Source organism: Homo sapiens, chromosome 17, assembly GCF_000001405.40.
Source record: "Homo sapiens chromosome 17, GRCh38.p14 Primary Assembly".
In the NCBI taxonomy this organism is placed as follows: domain Eukaryota; kingdom Metazoa; phylum Chordata; class Mammalia; order Primates; family Hominidae; genus Homo; species Homo sapiens.
The window spans coordinates 35,453,822-35,475,928 of record NC_000017.11 but is presented as its reverse complement, the minus strand read 5'-3'; the positions used below and the strand labels follow the sequence as shown (position 1 = coordinate 35,475,928).

The 22,107-nt window shown below is 41.2% G+C and overlaps 1 protein-coding gene and 1 pseudogene across 2 annotated transcripts in view, besides 1 other annotated feature; both read left to right on the top strand.

Moving 5' to 3' along the window:
- Positions 1 to 11,675, top strand: part of SLFN12L (schlafen family member 12 like) — a 73,425-nt gene extending 61,750 nt beyond the window's left edge. For both annotated transcript variants that reach the window (NM_001363830.2, NM_001195790.3), the window contains one exon: positions 444 to 11,675. In NM_001363830.2, the coding sequence (NP_001350759.2) occupies positions 444 to 1,006 (563 nt within the window). In that variant the 3' untranslated portion in view covers positions 1,007 to 11,675. The remainder of the gene's footprint in view (positions 1 to 443) is intronic.
- Positions 15,170 to 15,399: a silencer, noted in NCBI's record as "silent region_8438". NCBI's record gives its function as "represses an Ori minimal core promoter by ATAC-STARR-seq in GM12878 lymphoblastoid cells {active_cell/tissue: GM12878}" and the evidence as "EXISTENCE:reporter gene assay evidence [ECO:0000049][PMID:35858748]".
- LOC100420061 (adenylosuccinate synthase 2 pseudogene) lies at positions 15,185 to 16,643 on the top strand (annotated as a pseudogene).

The following is a 22,107-nucleotide window of genomic DNA, read 5'->3' as shown; positions in this document are numbered from 1 at the left end:
AAAAATATATATATATGTAGAATTTTTTTGAGACAGAATCTCATGCTGTTGCCCAGGCTGGAGTGCAGTGGCATGATCTCAGCTCACTGCAGCCTCAACTTCCTGGGCTCAAGTGATCCTCCCACCTCAGCCTCCCAAGTAGCTGGGACTACCAGCATGCACTACCATGCTTGGCTAACTTTGTAACCTTTTTGTAGAGAAGAGGTCTTACAGTGTTGCCTAGACTGGTCTTGAACACCTGGGCACAAGTGATCCTCCTGCCTCTGCCTCCCAAAGTGTTGTTATTACAGGTGTGAGCCACCATGCCTGGCCCTGATACACTTTTACATAGCTTTTATAGTTGCTTTTGGTGGGAGAATTAATCTAATACAAGCTGCTTTGTATCCATGGCTTAAGTTGGAAGTTCTCAGTCTTTTATAATTTATCATTATTTCCCCATCTAGGGCTATCAGAAAAGATAACTTGTGCTCCAAAAACCTTCTGCAGAAATCTGTTCTCACAACATGAAGGACTTAAGCAATTAATATGTGAAGAAATGGGCTCTGTCAATAAGGGCTCACTGATCTTCTCTAGGAGCTGGTCTTTGGATCTGGGCTTGCAAGAGAACCACAAAGTCCTCTGTGATGCTCTTCTGATTTCCCAGGACAAGCCTCCAGTCCTATACACCTTCCACATGGTACAGGATGAGGAGTTTAAAGACTATTCTACACAAACTGCCCAAACTTTAAAACAGAAGCTGGCAAAAATTGGTGGTTACACTAAAAAAGTGTGTGTCATGACAAAGATCTTCTACTTGAGCCCTGAAGGCAAGACAAGCTGCCAGTATGATTTAAACTCGCAAGTAATTTACCCTGAATCCTACTATTGGACAACAGCTCAAACAATGAAAGACTTGGAAAAGGCCCTTTCAAATATCTTACCTAAGGAGAATCAAATCTTTTTGTTTGTTTGTTTGTTTCGTTTTTGTTTGTTTGTTTGTTGGTTTGTTTGTTTTTTCTTGAGATGAGTCTCACTCTGTCACCCAGACTGGAGTGTAGTGACACGATCTCGACTCACTGCAACCTCTGCCTCCTGGGTTCAAGCAATTCCCTGCCTCAGCCTCCCGAGTAGCTGGGATTACATGTGCCTGCCACCACACCTGGCTAATTTTTTTTTTTTTGTATTTTTAGCAGAGATGGGGTTTCACCGTCTTGGCCAGGCTGGTCTTGAACTCCTGACCTCGTGATTCAACCCCCCCCCCCGGTCTCCCAAAGTGCTAGGAGTACAGATGTGAGCCACCGCGCCCGGCTGGAGAATCAATTCTTTTATAGACCAATTAGCCTTTGACATTTCCAGCATCTCCCAGATAATCAGTATAGATAAGGATGTTTAAATCTTGTCCAAGGCTCACTTGAATCATGGAAGATGGACTGGGCTACAGAGATATTTTTCATTATATATTTGGTAACATTCTCTAATTCTCTAAAAATACGTCTTTGAAAACATTGCAAGTTAGGCAACTTGACGTGATGTTGGAAAACTGGGATTAGCCTATGTTCGCTTCTTCCTAAGTTCTTTATAGATATTCCTTAAGGGAAATTAGAAAAATTAATTACCTACACATGTTTTGCCATACCAAGATGTCATTTGACTATAAAGGAAATATCAGACATTCTTATCCAATGGACATGGAAAACATAGTTCTCTAATATCTTCTTGAAAACTATATTGCAATGAAATGCAGCCAATGAAGAGATGAATCAAAATGGAGAACTTGCCGAGTTGGATGGATCACTTGAGGTCAGGAGTTGAAGACCAGCCTGGGCAACATGGTGAAACCCAGTCTCTACTAAAAATATAAAAATTAGCCAAGTGTGGTGGCACACACATGTAGTCCCAGCTACTCGGGAGGCTGAGGCATGAGAATTGCTTGAACGCAGGAAGTGGAGGTTACAGTGAGCCAAGACCACACCACTGCACTCCAGCTTGGGCAAGAGAGCAAGACTCTGTCATCTCTATGCAAATAAACTAGAAAATCTAGAAGAAATGGATAAATTCCTGAACACATGCAACCTCCCAAGACTGAGCCAGGGAGAAGTCAAATCCCTGAACAGGTCAATAACAAGTTCTGAAATTGAGGCAGTAATTACTAACCAAAAAAAGCCCAGGACCAGACAGATTCACAGCTGAATTCTACCAGAGGTACAAAGAGGAGCTGGTACCATTTCTACTGAAACTATTCCAAACAATAAAAGAGGAAAGAATCCTGCCTAACTCATTTTATGAAGCCAGTATCATCCTGATACCAAAACCTGGTAGGGACACAATAAAAAAAGGAAAACTTCAGGCCAATATCCCTGATGAACATCATTGCAAAAATCATCAATAAAATACTGGCAAACCGAATCCAGTGGCATGTCAGAAAAGCTTATCCACCACGATCAAGTGGGCCTCATCCCTGGGATGCAAGGCTGATTCAACAAACACAAATCAATAAATGTAATTCATCACATAAACAGAAACAATGACAAAAACCATATGATTATCTCAATAGATGCAGAAAAAGACTCTGACAAAATTCAACATCCCTTTATGTTAAAAACTCTCAATAAACTGGGTATTGATGAAACATATCTCAAAACAATAAGAGCTATTCATGACAAACCCACAGCCAATATCATACTGAATGGGCAAAACCTGGAAGCATTCCCTTTGAAAATTGGCACAAGACAAGAATGCCCTCTCTCACCACTCCTATTCAACATAGTATTGGAAGTTCCGGCCAGGGCAATCAGGCAAGAGAAAGAAATAAAGGTATTCGAATAGGAAGAGAGGAAGTCAAATTGTCTTTATTTGTAGATGAGATGATTTTATATCTAGAAAATCCCATCATCTCAGCCTCCAAATTCCTTAAGCTGATAAGCAACTTCAGCAAAGTCTCAGGATACAAAATCAATGTGCAAAAGTCACAAGCATTCCATTACACCAACAATAGACAAGCAGAGAGCCAAATCATGAGTGAACTCACATTCACAATCGCTAAAAAGAGAATAAAATACCTAGAAATACAGCTAACAAGGGATGTGAAGGACCTCTTCAAGGAGAACTACAAACCACTGCTCAAGGAAACAAGAGAAGACACAAACAAATGGAAAAACATTCCATCCTCATAAACAGGAAGAATCAATATCATGAAAATGGCCATATTGCCCAAAGTAATTTATAGATTCAATGTTATTCCCATCAAACTACCATTGACATTCTTCACAGAATTTCATATGGAATCAAATCAGAATTAAATGAAATTAAATTTCATATGGAATCAAAGAAGACCTTGTATAGCTAAGATAATCCTAAACAAAAAGAACAAAGCTGGAGGCATTATGCTACCTGACTTCAAACTACACTACATGGCTACAGTAACCAAAACAGCATGGTACTGGCATAAAAAGAGACATATAGACCAATGGAACAGAACAGAGACCTCAGAAATAACACCACACATCTATAACCATCTGATCTTCTACAAACTTGACAAAAACAAGCAATGGGGAAAGGATCTTCTATTCAATAAATGGTGCTGGGAGAACTGGCTAGCCATATGCAGAAAACTGAAACTGGATCCCTTCCTTACACCTTATACAAAAATTAACCCAAGATGGACTAAAGACTCAAACTGAAAACTGAAACTGGATCCCTTCCTTACACTTTATACAAAAATTAACTCAAGATAGATTAAAGACTTAAATGCAAAACTCAAAACCATAAAAACTCTAGAAGAAAACCTAGGCAATACCATTCAGGACATAGGCATGGGCAAAGACTTCATGACAAAAACACCAAAAGCAATTGCAACGAAAGCCAAAGTTGACAAACGGGATCTAATTAAACTAAAGAGCTTCTGTACAGGGAAAGAAACCACCATCAGAGTGAACGGACAACCTACAGAATGGGAGAAAATTTTTGCAATCTACCCATCTGACAAAGGTCTAATACCCAGAATGTACAAGGAACTTAAACAAATTTACAAGGAAAAAACAACCCCATTGAAAAGTGGATAAAGGATATGAATAGACATTTCTCAAAAGAAGACATTTATACAGCCAACAAACGTATGAAAAAAAACTCAACATCACTTATCATTAGAGAAATGCAAATCAAAACCACAATGAGACACCATCTCACACAAGTCAAATGGTGATTATTGAAAAGTCAAGATAAAAGATTATTTAAAACTTTTAAATAATCTTTTATTAAAAGAATATTTAAAACTTTTAAATAATCTTTTATTAAAAGAAAGATTATTAAAAAGTCTCCACTGCACGGCGAGGCTGTGGAGAAATAGGAATGCTTTTACACTGTTGGTGGGAATGTAAATTAGTTCAACCATTGTGGAAGACAGTGTGGCGATTCCTCAAGGATCTAGAACCAGAAATACCATTTGACCCAGGAATCCCATTACTGGGTATATACCCAAAGGAATGTAAATCATTCTACTATAAAGATACATGCAGGCGTGGCGCGGTGGCTCATGCCTGTAATCCCAGCACTTTGGGAGGCTGAGGCGGGTGGATCACCTGAGGCCAGGAGTTTGAGACCAGCCTGGCCAACATGGTGAAACCCCATTTCTACTAAAAATACAAGAATTAGCTGGGAGTGGTGGTAGGCGTCTGTAATCCCAGCTACTTGGGAGGCTGAGACATGAAAATTGCTTGAACCCGGGAGGCAGAGGTTGCAGTGAGCCAAGATCACCCCATTGCACTCCAGCCTGGGTGACAAGAGCAAAACTCTGTCTCAGAAAAAAAAAAAAAAAGACACATGCACACATATGTTTATTGCCCCACTATTTACAATAGCAAAGGCATGGAACCAACCCAAATGCCCATCAGTGATAGACTGGATAAAGAAAATGTGGTACATATACACCATGGAATACTGTGCAGCCATAAAAAGGAATGAGATCATGACCTTTGCAGGGACATGGATGAAGCTGGAAGCCATCATCCTCAGCAAACTAACATGGGAACAGAAAATGAAACACTACATGTTCTCACTCATAAGTGGGAGCTGAACAATGAGAACACATGGACACAGGGAAAGGATTAACACACACCAGGGCCTGTTGTGGGGTGGGGAGAGTGAGGGGAGGGAACTCAGAGGATGGGTCAATAGGTGCAGCAAACCACCATGGCACATGTATACCTATGTAACAAACCTGCACATTCTGCACGTGTATCCCAGAGCTTAAAGTATAATAAAAATTAAAAAAAAAAAAAAGAACTTAAAACAGTGGGAGCATGTTCACACTCTTGGAGTCTTTCCAGCCCTGAACCTCAGGCAGCCTGTATCAGCTGCTGGTGATGGGTGACCTGGGCATGGGGAAGACCACCATCATCAAACAGTGAGTGCACCAGAACTCCTCCTGGCTGGCACCCTGAAGCCACCACTGTGTGAACTGTGCATTCAAGGTGCTACACTGGGACCCAGAGGCCTTGGCACACCTACAGCTGTGGAACATTGCAATGAGGAAAGATTGGGAAAATGACAAGAGCCTGTTATCTGGAACTTACAGGCGCATTTATTGTCTCCAGTATCACCAGGCCAGCCCCATTTGAAGCAGAGCTAAAGTGGAAAAATGATTTGGACTAAACGTTAACACATGGCAGACCAATTTCTATGGTTCTGTTGGCCAAGAAATGTGACCATGGGAGGATGAACGCAGGAACAATAGCCTCAAGATGGGCCAGATCTACATGGAACATAGTTTTGCAGTAGGAAAATATAAACTTTGGTGAAACCTTCAGATGCCTGATAAAATATTATATGAAAATGTACTCTTGAAGTTTTGATTTATGGAGGTGACTGAGTGTCAACACAGATGGACTAGCGCCATTGAAAAAAGACTTTATTACTTATAGTTCCAAGAGAAGGGGACTTGCTCTGTCATGCAGGGTCATGTGGTAAAGCATCCAGTTGGTTAAGGAAAGAGGAGCAGAAGTGAGGGGAAAATCTAATTCGGAACCTTTATTATTAGGGTTTCTGTGGGAAAGGTCCAGCTGGGCAGGGGGAACAGCTTAGGACTCAATAGTTTGAATAATTCTGATGGGCTTTGGGGCCTAGGGACGGTCCCCAGTTGTCTGTTACATGGCCCTGGGTTTATGTAGGGTAGGGAAAATATTGGCTCGATGTGTGAGTAGCTTAGAGTATGAGCTCTGGGTCACAGCGGGGATGTAAAGAATGTTGGCCATTAGTTTGGCCCTGTGATTAATGGATGCCAAATAGACAAGTACAGAACCTAGGAAAACACAGTAAGACCCATTGCCCCTGGGCCTATTTGGCATCATCGTAAGAAACCTGGGGTGGTAATAGTGGACTTATTTAAAGGATGGGGTACAGTTGCCCTAAATAGCCTAGAAAATATTTTATTGTAAGAGTAAGATAGAAGAACAATGTGGAAGTATAAAGAGCCCTTGTAGGCTGGTCCATAACTAAGTTCTTCATTTGCATGTCATTAGTCAAGAAAGTAGATCTGAAATTTTTGGAGGTTTTTACTATTATCTTGGTGGAGTTTTAAAGTGGGTTAAAAGTTTGAAATACATATATATATATATTATATATATATTTATATATATAATATATATATATTTTATATATATATATTTTATATAAAACAGGTCCTGCAGTCAGGTTGTTGGGGGATAGGAACTAATACATTAATAATGCATGTGTAGACTAGCGTGTGTGTATAACCAAGGAGGAGTGGTCATGGTCAGAGACACAGGGCAGGAAGTCACGGGGGAAAGCTTGAGGGGGTAGTAGGGGTAGGCACTGGGGAGTTAGTGGTCCTCTTCCCAGTGGGTTGAGGGATTGACTCAGGAGGCAACAGCCTTCAGAGAAAGGCAATACTATCCATTAATTTTTGTTATCTTTTTAGACACAGGGTCTTGCCCTTGTCACCGAGGCTGGAGTGCAGTGGTGTGGTCATAGCTCATTACAGCCTTGACCTCCCGACATCAAGAGATTCTCCTGCCTCAGACTCTTGAGTAGCTGGGACTACAGGTGTACACCACCATGCCCAGCTAACTTTTATATGTTTTGTAGAGATGGGGTCTCCCCATGTTGCCCAGGCTGGTTTGAACTCCTGGGATTAAGCAGTCCTGCCTCAGCCTCCCAAAGTGCTGGAATTATAGGCATGAGTCACTGTGCTTGGCCCTCCATTAATTCTTAGAATGACGTAGGTAGTGGTAACTACTATTAAATTTTCCTTCAGGCATAGGAGTGCGGGGTGTATGTTTTGGCAGAGAGCAAGGAGTATGCCAGGATGATAGGCTAAGCAGACAGCACACTCAGAAACACAATAGAATCCCTGATATCAAAGGAAAAAAGGCCAAATGTTCGGTGTGCAGTTTGTGCCTGAGAAGAGGCAGTCCATGGGTGTCACTGGGGTGAAGGTTTTTGTGTTTAGGGTGACGCCATGTCTGGTGCAGGGGTAAATTCATCTCTGACGGTAAGCTGGATCGATGTCATCTGAGGCAGCATAATCTCCAGCAGTGAGTGCCTATCCAGGAAAATGTCATCTAGGATATGGGTCTTGAGTATTTCTTTTAAGTAAATACAGACTCAGGTTGATGTGGGTCTTAGCATTTGCCATGATTGATTAAAACAATGGCTTGTATGGAGGGTTGGTGCCTCCAGATGATAAAACAACAAAAGCACCCATACCAGCAGTAAGATCAGCAGGCTGAGCATGGCAGCTCATGCCTGTAATCCCAGCACTTTGAGAGGCCAAAGCAGGTGCATTGCTTGAGCTCAGGCATTCAAGACCAGCCTGGGCAACATGGTAAAACCCTGTCTCTACAAAAAACATAAAAAATTAGCTGGGCGTGGTAGTGTGTGCCTGTGGTCGCAGCTTCTCAGGAGGCTGAGGTGAGAGGATTGTCTGAACCCAGGAAGTAGAGTGGGGAGTGAATCGTGATCACGCCACTGCACTCCAGCCTGGGTAACAGAGTGAGACCTTGTCTCAGACCAAAACAAAAAGCAAAAACAAACAAACAAAACAAAAAAGATAAACAGAAAACAGAATGGTGTGCAGCTGCATTTGACAGAGTTTTGGTTTTTGCTTGCTTGCTTGCTTGCTTCATGGTTGAAGTTTAGGCTCAAACGGGTCCCATATCAGATAAGCAGCTGCCTAGCCCATTGGACAATCACTATTAATTGGACCCCAGAGAATATACACACCTGCTGTGGCCTCCTGATGGGGGGGGTTTGATATTGAAAATCTATAAAAATAGGTTAAGGCCTGGGGCAAGATAAAGACCCATTGAGAGGTCCATTTGTTGGACTGGAACTTTAAAAGAAGTTGTTTGGGGAGACTCTTATGTCTCTCTGTTAAACTGGCTATTTGGGACCTATTAGGGTCATGAAAGTTTTATTGAATGCCTGTTTGTTTCGGGAGCCCATTCAGTGTGTATTTTGCAATGTGAAATGTGTGCCTTGGTTATTACCTTGGTAATTGTAAGGCCTCATATGGTGGCCTTAATATACATAGACACGTGATTTTGGGTATCTAAGAGGAAAGAGGTTCTTAGTGTTCCTTAATCTGAAAGGGACAATTCATTAGGCAATGGCTCAATTGTTCAAAAGGAATATGGAGATGGGGCCATTTGTTGGCCAGGGCATCCAGCATTCGGTAATATTCCACCTAGCTCCATCATGTATGGTGGTTGGCAGTGCCATTCATATAGTCCGTGAACTTCTATTGCTGTTCACTCAGTCAATCCAAAGGAGCTTTCCAGGTAACCAAGGGGTCTGGAGGAGAGGTGACCTCCTCCAGCACTATGGCATCTGGCAAGGGACCAAGGACTGGGGACGTCACTCCCTTCTGCGTGTGAATATGCTAGAGAGCCCAGGACTTGGTAGCCTCCTTGAGACAGGTTAGAGACAAACCTGGGCCCTCTGAGAGGCTGAGCTTGCAGGGTGCTGTTTCCATGACTGAAAGCATAACAGGTAGCCAGGTATGGAGGGTCACAGACTCAGAATCTGTGAAAGCCTCTATGTCCAGGAGAGCCCAGTATGGAGCTAGTCATTTGTGGTTTTAATGGCATATAGCATGAGGCTGAGAGCCCTCAGGCAATTCGTAGCCATCACAGGTGGTCTAGACTTTAGGAGGCATGAGTAGAGCTTGTTAAAGTCTCTTCAGTAAAGGAATCAATGCAGGCACCAATGGGTCTGTCTGTTGGTATTAATTTGGATAGATTTTAGAGCCTTTTTGTTTGAGGCTGCCACATTTAAAGTGGGTTCATTTGTGAGTTACAGCTCAATGAGATTAAGTAAAATTTGTAAGTGAAGAATATTTTGCCATGAAAACCCAAAAAGGATGAAAAGATGTTGGACTCTTATGTCCATATGAGTAGATTAAGTGACATCTCCTTGGAGGAGGTTATTAATGTAATATCATATCTGTGCTCCCAGAGGAAGGTGCATGCACTTAAGATCTTGTCTGTCCCTGTCTCTTTAAAAAGAAGGCCATCTGAAAAGGCTATATACTGTATGATTCCAACTATATGACATTCTGTAAAAGGCAAGATTATGGAGACAGTAAAATGATCGGTGGTTTCCAAGGATTAAGGGAGTGGGAGGAATGAATAGTTGAACCACAGAGGATTCTTAAGGCCATGAAAATCCTGTGTTTGATACTATATAGTAGATATATGTCATTATACATTTGTCTGAACCCATAAAATGTACAAGAAGAATGAACGCTAATGTAAAAGTCGCAATGGATTTTGAGTGATTATGATGTATTAATTTAGATTAATCAATTGTAACAAATGTACCACACTAATGGGAGATGTTGCTAATGGGGGAGGCTATGCATGAGTGCGGGCAGTGGGTATATGGAAAATCTTTGTACTTTCCGCTCAATTTTGCTGTGAATCTGCTCTAGAAAAATTAAGTATTAAAAAAGATCTTGTCTGTAAGATGTGTGCATGATGGCAAAATTGTGAAGGTACTGAGGTGTAGCCTGCAAGAGGTATATTGTGTCTCTTCAGCAATGGAGGCAAACTACAGTGGAGTCTGTTGAAATAGGCACGGAATTGAACATATTGAACATATTAGCCAAGTCTGTAAGAACAGAGTATTTAGCAGTTATTGATTGGATAGAGTTAATAATGTTAATCATACTAGATACTGGCTATGAGGCCCTAGTCGACAAGACCACAGCAATAATGTTGTAGTCCTCCACCGTGAGGTGCCTGCTGCTTATTATTTTCCAGGTTTAAGAACAGGCAACACTGGGCTGTTAAACGGACAAGCAGCAGGGAATACTTATCTCCTTTATCCCTTTTATGTTATATAAATGAGGTTTTATGTAACAACTTTCAATCCTTCAAGGGCCTATTTTAACTTACATTGAACCATATTAACTATTTTAATGGGATTTATATAATCCTATTTTATCAAGCCAATTTTTGAGTGCCAAAAATTTAATTTTAATTTATTATTTATTGTGACATGGAGTCTATGTTCAATACGAGATACTTTAAGGCACTGAGTACAACAACTATGAGCAATTCAATCAAGATATAAAATAAGGCATAGCTATTTTTAAAAAGCTATTTAGCTACCTTTTAAAATTATATGGGGTACAATGTTTAAATTTGTTGGAACCTCAGGCATAAGTATAATTTGAGTATTTATTAAGTCCACGAGGTTTCTCAATTGGTGCATTTTGGCAAATGTTAAAGTTAATTTAGAGCTTTCAGTTCTGGCCAGGCGTGGTGGCTCACGCCTGTAATCCCAGCACTTTGGGAGGCCGAGACAGGCGGATCACTTGAGGCCAGGAGTTCGAGACCAGCCTGGCGAACATATAGTGAAACCTCATCTCTACTAAAAAATACAAAAATTAGCTGGATGTGGTGGTGTGCTCCCGTAGTCCCAGCTACTTGGGAAGCTGAGGCAGGAGAATCACTTGAACCTGGGAGGCGGGGGTTGCAGTGAGCCAAGATGGCACCACCGCACTCCAGCCTGGGTGACAGAGCAAGACTTTATCTCTCTCTAAAAAAAGCAAAAAACAGAAAACAAAAAACCTTACAGTTCTAAACCCAATCACGACCTTAGCTATCTTTTTGTTATATAAATTCTTTGGTATACAAATTTTCGATTTCCAATTGGGTGAAATTATGGATGTTTGTTTTAATTTAGATATACGTTTGATATCTTTATCTATGTACATGTACAATCTATTCATTATGTCTATATTAACCTAAATGCTCATCAATGACAGATTAGATAAAGAAAATGTGGTACATATACACCATGGGCTACTACACAGCCATAAAAAAGAACAAGATCATGTCTTTTGCAGGAACATGGATGGAACTGGAGGCCATTACCCTTAGCAAACTAACTTAAGAACAGAAAACCAAGTCCAGCATCTTCTCACTGATAAATGGGAGCTAAACGAAAGAACTTATGAACACAAAGAAGGAAACAGCAGACACTGGGGTCTATTTGAGGGGGGGAGGGTGGGAGGAGGGAGAGGAGCAGAAAAGTTAACTATTGGGTATGGGCTTAATACCTGGGTGATGAAATAATATGTATAACAAAACCCCATGACACATGTTTACCTGTGTAATGAGCCTTCACATGCGCCCCCAAACCTAAAATAAAAATTAACAAAAATTTTATCTACATATAATTCAGTTGGTTATTTTTTTTCTCTCCCTGTGCTATAGTTTGGATGTTTGGTCCCCTCCAAACCCCATGTCGAAATTTGATCCTCAGTGTTGGAGAGGGAGCCCAATGGAAGGTGTTGGGGTCATGGGGGAGGATGTCTCATGAATAGATTAATGCCCTTTCTTGGGGGTGAGTTCTGACTTTATTAGTTCCCATAAGAGTTGGTTGTTAAAAAGACCCTGGCACCTCTCTCTACTCTTGTTTCCTCTCTTGCCTTGTGATCTCTGCACACACTGGCTTCTCTTTGCCTCCTGCCATGAGTGGAAGCAGCCTGAGGACATAACCGGATGCAGATGCCCAATCTTGAACTTTCCTAGACATCAGAATTGTGAGCCAAATGCATCCTTTTTCTTTACAAATTACACAGCCTCAGGAATTCCTTATAACACAAAATAGACTTAGGCACCCTGAATTCAGGTTTTTTTTTTTTCTATTCCTCTCCCTCATGCTGTTACAAGAAAAACTGGGACTGCAACATACTCCCAAACTGAGAAGGAGCCAAGAAACCAAAGAATGGCTCAGACAAATCTAGGTTTGTGAGTAGATGAATTTATCAGGACTTACATACAAGGTATTCCTGGTGGGAGCAGGATAGCTCCAGAGACCTGCCCCATCACCCAGCCCTAAGCTTCTTTTAAGCGAATATTCTGGCTCTTTGCCTACTGTTTGCAATGAGACTGTTTTCCTTGGTATGTTCCCAGAGACATTCTGGGATGTTTGGGTTGTCAGGGACACCTTCTCCTCAGGTAGGCATCATGGCCTTTGCTCAGTGCTCAGCCTTCAGGGTGCAAGCAGCAAAAATAAACCCTTAAGTAACCTGGTCGGGGATCCGTCACACTACACCCCCCAGTTTTAGGCTGTTTTAGTTTCTATCTCTGACTGATAAGAGGAAAGAATGGAGGAGAAAGGGACACAGTGCTTCTTGGCAGTAGCCTTTCCCTGGACAAGCCCCTGCAGTCCACTTTCTCCCACTTTTTTGTTAAACAAAATATTTTAGAGTGGCTTGTATCTCTAGGTTAAAATTTTCCTTCTCTCTTTCACTCCTTTTGGTCTCCTTTGTCCCAATCATTTTTTTCCTTTTTTGTTCTCTTGGATATTTACCTGATAACTCAGGTAAACACAGAGTCAAGGAGCTAAGCAAATCCCAAACAAGATAAACTCAAAGAAAATTGTGCCAAGACAAATTTTAATTAAATATCTGAAAACTAAGGACATAAAATATATTTAAAGCAGCCAGTGAAAACACCTTCTTTATAGAGAATAACAATTTGAATGACAGTGGAATCATGGAGAACAGAAGAAAGTGTCATAACATTTTTCAAGTACTGAATAAAAAGAACTCTCAACTCAGAATCCTATGCACAGAGAATGTATTCTTTAGGAATGAAAGGAAAACCAAGGCATTCTCAGATGAAGGAAAAATAAGAGAATTCATTGCCATCACCAAAAGACCTACTCTAACAGAACAGCTAAAAGAAGTTATCTAAACAGGGAGGCAATGAAAAAAAAAAAAGGAGTTATGGAACATCAGAAAGGAAGAAAGAACACAGTAAGTAAAAATATGGGTAAATGCAATATGCTTTCTCTCTCTGCTTGAGTCTTCTAAATTATGTTTGACAGTTGGAGTAAAAATTATAACATTCTCTGATGTGGTTCTACATGTTTGTAGAGGAAATATTTAATACAATTTTATTATAAACAAAGAAAGGTGGTTAAAGAGACATGACTGGAGGTAAAATTTCTATATTTCACTAGAACTAGTAAAATGATGACACCAGTTCACTGTGAAAAATTATGTATATATAATGTAATACCTACAGCAATTACTATAAAAGCTATACAACGAGATACACTAAAAACATAATAGATAACTCAGAATTCTGCCCAATATTCAACCCATAGGAAGGCAGGGAAAAGAAAAAAATATTAAGAACACAGAGAAGAAATAGAAATCAAAAAATAAAATGGCATACTTAAGCCCAAACATATCAATAATTATATAATATATAAAGGGTCTAAATATACCAATTAAAGAACCATTTGGCAGAGTGGATTAAAAATTATGACCCAGTGTATGGTGTCTATAAGGAACTCACTTCAAATGTATGAAAGTTGAAAATAAAATGATGGAAAAAGGCATATCATGTAGGGCCAGGTATGGTGGCTCACACCTGTAATTCCAGCACTCTGGGAGGCCAAGGTGGTGGATCAGTTGAGGCCAAGAGTTCAAGACCAGACTGGCCAACATGGTGAAACCCCCCCATCTCTACTAAAAATACAAAAATTAGGTGGACTTGGTGGTGGGTGCCTGTAATCTCAGCTACTTGGGAGGCTGAGGTGGGAGGATCACTTGAACCTGGGATGCTGAGACTGCAGTGAGCCAAGATTGTGCCACTGCACTCCAGCCTGGGTGACAGAGCAAGGCTTCGTCTAAAAAAAAAAAAAAAAAAAAAAAAAGACATATTATGCAAACAAAAGAGAGCAGGTGCGGCTATACAAATATCAGATAAAGTAAAGAAAATTACCAGAGACGCATAGGGATATTATATTAATGATGAAAAGATCAGTTAACCAGGAAGATATGGCCATCTACATGTATGTATATCAAACAACAGAGCTGCAAAATATGTGACACAAAAAGTGATAGCACTGAAAGGAGAAGTAGACTTCACAATTGTAGTTAGGGACGTCATCACCCTTGTACCTCGTAGTACAAGTAGACCAAAAAATCTATAAGGCAGATTTGAGAGCAGCCTGCACAACACAGCAAGACCCCATTCTTAAAAAAAATTTCTGGGGGGGCATGTTGGTGCATGCCTGTAGTTCTAGCTACTTGAGAGGCTGAAGTGGGAGGCTTGCTTGAGTCCAGGAAATGAGGTTGCAGTGAACTATGATCATGCCACTGCACTCCAGCCTCAGTGACAGAGCGAGACCCCGTCTTAAAGAAAATCTGCAAGGGTATAGAAGAACTTAACACCACCAGTCAACATGTTACTCAACAACAGCAAAACATATATTCTTCTCAAATGCCTATGGAACATATACCAAGATAGACCAGAACCTGAGCCATAAAACAAACCTAAACAAATGTTAAAGAATTGAAATTATACTCAGAGTGTGTTCTATGACCAAAATGGAACCAAACTACAAATCAATGGCAGAAAGGTAACAGGAAAATTTCCAAACACTTAGAAAGTTAAAACGTACTTCTAAGTAATCCATAGGACAAAGAGGTTGTCTCAGGGTAAATTTTAAAAATGCAGTCGAGTGAAAATGAAAACATATCAAAATTCGTGAGACATAGATAATGAGAGTGAGGAGATTCAGTGATGAGTAAAATTTAAGTGCACATATTAGTGTGGTAGGCTAAATTATGGCCTTCTCCGAGTAGCGCGCCAGGCCGCCACTTCCCGCGGGCGGTGCTGCCAAGGCAGGCCACCTGCGCGGGGCAGTCAGAGTCCCCCTACTTGAGCGGGTTGTGGCGGAGAGCGGGGCAGGGATTGGCTGGAGTGTGGCAGCCCAGCGGGGCGGGGGCGGGGGCGGGGCCGGCCTCTGGCTCCCTCTTCCTCCGCAGGTGGCTGGAGGCCGCAGAGCAATACAGTTCGCTCACCTCTCGCCGGCCGCGTCTCCTTCCGGCTCTCCTCGCGTCACCGGAGCTGCGGCGTTCGCCAAGAACTACCTGGAGGCATCCTCCCTGCCCAGCGGCGATTGCGGCCGCCCCAGGGCGCGGCCCAGAGGAAACTGGGTGACGGTGGTGCTCGGTGTGCAGTGGGGCGACGAAGGCAAAGGGGAGGTGGCGGATCTACTGGCGCAGGACCCCATGTGCCGCTGCCAGGGAGGAAATAATGCTGGCCATACAGTTGTTGTGCATTCTGTGGAGTATGATTTTCATCTCTTACCCAGTGGAATAATTATTCCAAATGTTACTGCATTCAATGGAAATGGTGTGGTAATTCATCTACCTGGATTGTTTGAAGAAGCAGAGAAAAATGTTCAAAAAGGAAAAGGACTAGAAGGCTGGGAAAAAGGCTTATTTTATCTGACAGAGCTCATATTGTATTTGATTTTCATCAAGCCGCTGATGGTGTCCAGGAACAACAGAGACAAGAACAAGCAGGAAAAAATTTGGGTACAACAAAAAAGGGCATTGGCCCAGTTTATTCTTCCAAAGCTGCTCGGAGTGGACTTAGGATGTGCGATCTTGTTTCTGACCTTGTTGGCTTCTCTGAGATGTTTAAAGTTCCAGCTAAACAATACAAATCTATACATCCCACTTTGGAAATAGACATTGAAGGTGAATTACAAAATCTCAAGGAAATTGGAGAATTATTACAAACAAAGGGTAGAGAGTTTGGTGTAACTATTGGAAGGAAAAGAAGATGTGGCTGGTTGGACCTCGTTTTGCTCAAATATGCTCATATTATCAATGGATTTACTGCGCTGGAAGTTACCAAGTTGAATATTTTGGACATGTTTATGGAAATCAAAGTTGGAGTTGCTTACAAGTTAGATGGTCAAATCATACCTCATATTCCAGCAAATCAAGAAGTCTTAAAGTTGAAGTTCAATATAAGACTCCATGAGAATGGAACACAGACATATCAAATGCAAGGGCATTTAAAGAACTACCTGTTAATGCACAAAACTATGTTCGATTTATTGAAGATGAGCTTCAAATTCCAGTTAAATGGATTGGTGTTGGTAAATCCAGAGTCTATGATTCAACTCTTCGAATGATTGACAGTAAAGCAAGAAACACTCCTTGAGAGGGAGGGGAAAAGACTTTCTTAAATACTTCAATTAAGACCTACAAATTCAAGAATAAATAAATTGAAGTGAGTTTTAGGCCCTACGGTTGTTTCCAGTCTTTTCAGATGGATACCTATTGTGGAGATTAACTTTGGCATATTCCAGTGTCAGCTTTCCTTAGCTGGCATAATTTGTTGCTCCTGCTGCTCTCATGGTGCCACTTTTTTTTTTAATGTTTAGTAATAATATAATTCATGTTTGAAATCTAAAGTAGAATTACTTTTAATGTAGTTTTTCTTCATTATTGTCATTGTGTGTTCTTAAGTTTTACCCCTATTAGATAGTAAGAACAATTAATGCAGTTTTGCACAAATATTTTTACATTCTGATCATTCAATTCTGTCGTTGTAATCTTTGTTGTTAGAAACAAATGATGAAAACATAGGGGTTCTGTAAACTTTTGTAATGCTATGAGTTCTGTTTAAATTGTGGACTGTTTATTTTCTGCTGAGACCATTGCAAAATTTGAAAGTCGGCAGCCTCAAAGATTGGTGGTAGATAAGCCCACAAAAATGAGAAAGAATCCATGCGGAAACTCTGAAAACTTAAAAAGCCAGAGGGTCTCTTCTCCTCCAAATGATCACAACATTTTTCCAGCAAGAGCACAGAACTGAGCAGAGGCTGAGATGGATGAGTTGACAGAAGTAGGCTTCAGAAGGTGGGTAGCAATAAACTTCACTGAAGTAAAGGATCATGTTCTAACCCAATGCAAAGAAGCTAAGAATCATGATAAAACATTACAGGAGCTGGTGACTACAGTAGCCAGTTTAGAGAGGAACATAAATGACCTGATGGAGCTGAAAAACACACGAGCACTTCACAATGCAATCACAAGTATCAATAACCACATAGACTAAGTGGAGGAAAGAATCTCAGAGTTTGAGGACTATCTTTCTGAAATAAGTCAGGCAAACAAGATTAGAGGAAAAAAGAAGTAAAAGGAATGAACAAAACCTCTGAGAAATATGGGATTATGTAAAAAGACCAAACCTACAACTGATTGGGGTACCTGAAAGAGGTGGGGAGAATGGAACCAAGTTGGAAAACATACTTTAGGATATCATCCAGGAGAACTTCCCCAACCTAGCAAGACAGGCCAACATTCAAATTCAGGAAATGCAGTGAACCCCAGTAAGATACTCCATGAGAAGATCAACCCCAAGACACATAATCATTCAGAGTCTCCAAGGTTGAAATGAAAGAAAAAATGTTAAGGGCAGCCACAGAGAAATGCCAGGTCACCTACAAAAAGAAGCCCATGAGACTAACAGCAGACCTCTCAACAGAAACCCTACAAGGCAGAAGAGATTGGGGGCCAATATTCAACATTCTTAAGAAAAGAATTTCCAGCCCAGAATTTCATTTCCGGGCAAACTAAGTTTCATAAGCGAAGGAGAAATCAGATCCTTTCTAGATAAACAAAAGCTGAGGGAATTCACAGCCACCAGGCCTGCCTTTGCAAGAGCTCCTGAAGGAAGCACTAAATATGGAAAGGAAAAACCATTACCAGCCACTGCAAAAACACACTGAAGTACTCAGACCAGTAACACTATGAAACAACCATATAAACAAGTCTGCAAAATAACCAGCTAGCATCATGATGACAGGATCAAATTCACACATAAGAATATTAACCTTAAATGTAAATGGGCTAAATGCCCCAATTAAAAGACACAGAATGGCAAGCTGGATAGAGTCAAGACTCATCGGTATGCTGTATTCAAGAGACCCAACTCATGTACAGACAAACATAGGCTCAAAATAAAAAGATGGAGGAAGATTTAGCAAGCAGATGGAAAGCAGAGAAAAAGCAGGGGTTGCAATCCTAGTCTCTGACAGAACAGAATTTAAACCAACAAAGATCAAAAAAGACAAAGAAGGCCATTACATAATGGTAAAGGGATCAATGCAACAAGAAGAGCTAACTATCCTAAGTATATATGCATCCAATACAGGAGCACCCAGATTCATAACGCAAGTTCTTAGAGACCTGCAAAGAGACTTAGACTCCCACACAATAATAGTAGGAGACTTTAACACCCCACTGACGATATCAGACAGAATATTGAGACAGAAAATTAACAAAGATACTCAGGACTGGAACTCAGCTCTGGATCTAGGCGATCTGACAGATATCTACAGAACTCTCCATCCAAAAACAACAGAATATACATTCTTCTCATCACCACATGGCACTCACTCTAAAATTGATCACATAATTGGAAGTAAAACACTCCTCAGCAAGTGCAAAACAACTGAAATCATAACAGTCTCTCAGATCACAGTGCAATCAAATTAGAACTTAAGATTAAGAAACTAACTTAAAAATCACACAACTACGTGGAAATTGAACAACCTGCTCCTGAATGACTCCTGAGTAAATAATGAAATTAAGGCAGGAATAAAAAAGTTCTTTGAAACTAATGAGAACAAAGAGATAAAATACCGGAGTCTCTGGGACGTAGCTTGTATTAGAGTTCTCTTAGAGGGACTGAACTAACAGGGATAGAACTATTATATATAATATATATCTTATTATATATCCTAATATATATAACATATATATATGAGTTTATTAAGTATTAACTTTCACAATCACAGCATCCCACAATAGACTGTCTGCAGGCTGAGGAGCAAGGAGAGACAGTCAGAGTTCCCAAACTGAAGAATCTGAAGATGTAGGCTGGGAGGCCAAGCCTGTCTCTCCTTTTCACATTTTCCTGCCTGCTTTATATTCACTGGAAGCTGATTAGATTGTGCCCACCAGATTAAGGGTGGATCTGCCTTCCCCAGCCCACTGACTCAAATTTTAATCTCTTTTGGCAACACCCACACAGACACACCCAGGATTAATACTTTGTATCCCTCAATCCAATCAAGTTGACACTCAGTATTAACCATCACAAGTCCTCTCCTTGTCAACTTGAACCCAAAAACATCTCCATTTGAGATTATACATAATATTCAAATAAAGACAATAATGAAGTCATAATTATGTTTAGCATAATACAACTATCCTTCATACAACTAGAAATGCACCAATCCCTAACCCAAATACTATTACCTAAAGTTAACAATACTTAAATGCTGATATGAAGTCAATAAATCTTATGTCACATGATAAAGGAAAAGGAAATAAAATGAAGATATTTTCTTAGTACAAGTGTATACATGCACAAACATGTTTTTAATAAAAGAAGGAGGAAATACTCATGACAATTACAGTCTTCGTTTCTGCAGCTGGTCGTGGCCATAGCTGGTATTGATGACTACTTTCTTCTACTACCCATTCTGTATTCTCTTTGTCTTCAGCAAGTGCATCAGCAGGTCATGGTTTTTTTTTCCCTGGTGGAGTGACCCAAACCTTCATTCCTGAAGGATCTGGACCATTTGTAGTCCTGCCTGGATTGGGCTGTTGTAGTTTTCCATTGACCTTAATCACAGGGCATGGTAATACTAAGAGACTCCCTAGTGGATCTCCTGTATTCCATGAGTACTCTTCCTTAACTCCATTGTGGAGTGGTAGACTGGTTTCATCTTGATAGTTTGGGACAATCACCCCAGCCAACACTGCAAGTCCCTTCTTAGTCTGACTTAAAGGTAGGAGGTGCCCAAAGTGTCCAGGTGGCAATCTTAACTTCCAGTTTAATGGAATCATTGTTGTGTCTTCTGGTGGCAGCATTCCTCCCTCTGCAGCTAGGACCTCTAGGCCAGCATAACCTAATGTCACGGGAACAGGAAGCAAAAATTTTGCTAGTGGCTCACTAGGGGTGATGGTGAGTGATGCCACTTCCACTTTCACCCCTCGATTCCTGGACCAGTGAATCCTGGCTATGGGAGAAACAGTACCATATATTGGATGCTGATTCAGAGCATACACAGCCTTTTGGAGAACTTTGCTCCAGTGCTGCAAAGTATTGTCACATAGTTGGCATTTTAATTGTGCCTTTAAAAGGCCATTCCACTGTTTTATCAATCCAGCTGCTTCAGGACGATGGGGAACATGTTAAGACCAGTGAATTCCATGAGCATGAGCCCACTGCCACACTTCTTTAGCTGTAAAGTGAGTGCCTTGGTGAGAGGCAATGCTGTGTGGAATACTATGATGGTGGATGAGGCATTCCGTGAATCCATCGATGGTAGTCTTGGCAGAAGCATTGCGTGCAGGATAGGCAAACTATATCCGGAGTAAGTGTCTATTCCAGTGAGGACAAACCTCCGCCATTTCCATGATGGAAGAGGTCCAATATAATTAACTTGCCACCAGGTGGCTGGCTGATCGCCCCGAGGAATGGTACCATATTGAGTGCTCAGTGTTGGTCTCTGCTGCTGGAAAATTGGGCACTCAGCAGTGGCCATAGCCAGGTCAGCCTTGGTGAGTGGAAGTCCATGTTCCTGAGCCCATGCATAACCGCCATCCCTGCCACCATGGCAACTTTGGTTGTCCAGATCAATAAATTCAAACTGATCCAACTCTATGTTCCTTCCACCATTATCCCATACCCTTAATATCCATTCCCATGCCTGTTCTCCAGATTGCTGTTTATATAAATTAGGGAACTCAAACAGTTCTTTTTGAGTGTATTGCACCTCCTCATAGGTCACACTCTCAACCTCACCTCCAGGGGCCTGCTGGGACTTTAGTTTGGTTATAGGTCTAGAAGCAAACAGGGTGTTGGGGGTGGCTCCTGAGGAGAATCAACATTATCTTGCCTGGCAACTGCCTCAGGGGAGGCCATCACTGTTACCTCAGGCAGCGCAGGGTTCATCTCCTCAGACGAAGGAGGAAAGGCTGATGGCAGCATGGGTCGAGGAGGGGATGTTGCCACTACTTGGGATGGGGAAGCTCTCCCTTCTCACTAAGTTCATCAGAGTTTACAAACTCAGTGTCCCCAGCTTCATCAGGGTGTTCCCACATTTCCCCATTCCAAGTTGCAGGGTCCCATTCTTTTCCAACCAATGCCCTCACTTTAACAGTAGACACCTGGCGAGGCTATGCATGCATCTTTTGTTGCAGGTCAGCCACTCGCATAAGAGCTTGTGTCTGTTTTTCCACAATTTCAGCTCTTTCTCTACAGGAGATAAGGCTCTCACTCAGGGTAATCTTAGCAGATTTGAGGCTCAGTATCTGCTTCTGAAGCCGGGAGACAGAATCCCTGAGCTCATCATTTTCTTTCATCACTTTGCCTACTGAACTTAGGAGCAACCAACCAGCTTCATTACGTTCCTTGGTTCTCCGCATATGGTCAAAAGTATTAGGCAGTGTCACTAAACCCCTTGCCTCTCATGAGCAGTGAATCAGGAGTGCCAAATGCATTTATTTTGCACAACTCTCTAAACAGTTCATGTGAAGGACTATCAGTGTTCTCCATACTGTTAGAAGTAGAGTCCTTAGCATTTTTGGGTCTAATCCTATTAAGCAGCCAACTCCAGAAACCCCTAAACCAATGAAAAAACTCCATCCTTAATATCTGTTCCTTTAGAACCACTCCTGGTACCAAAATCTGTATTAGTTAGGGTTCTCTTAGAGGGACAGAACTAATAGGAGATATATATATATATAAAGGGAAGTTTATTAAG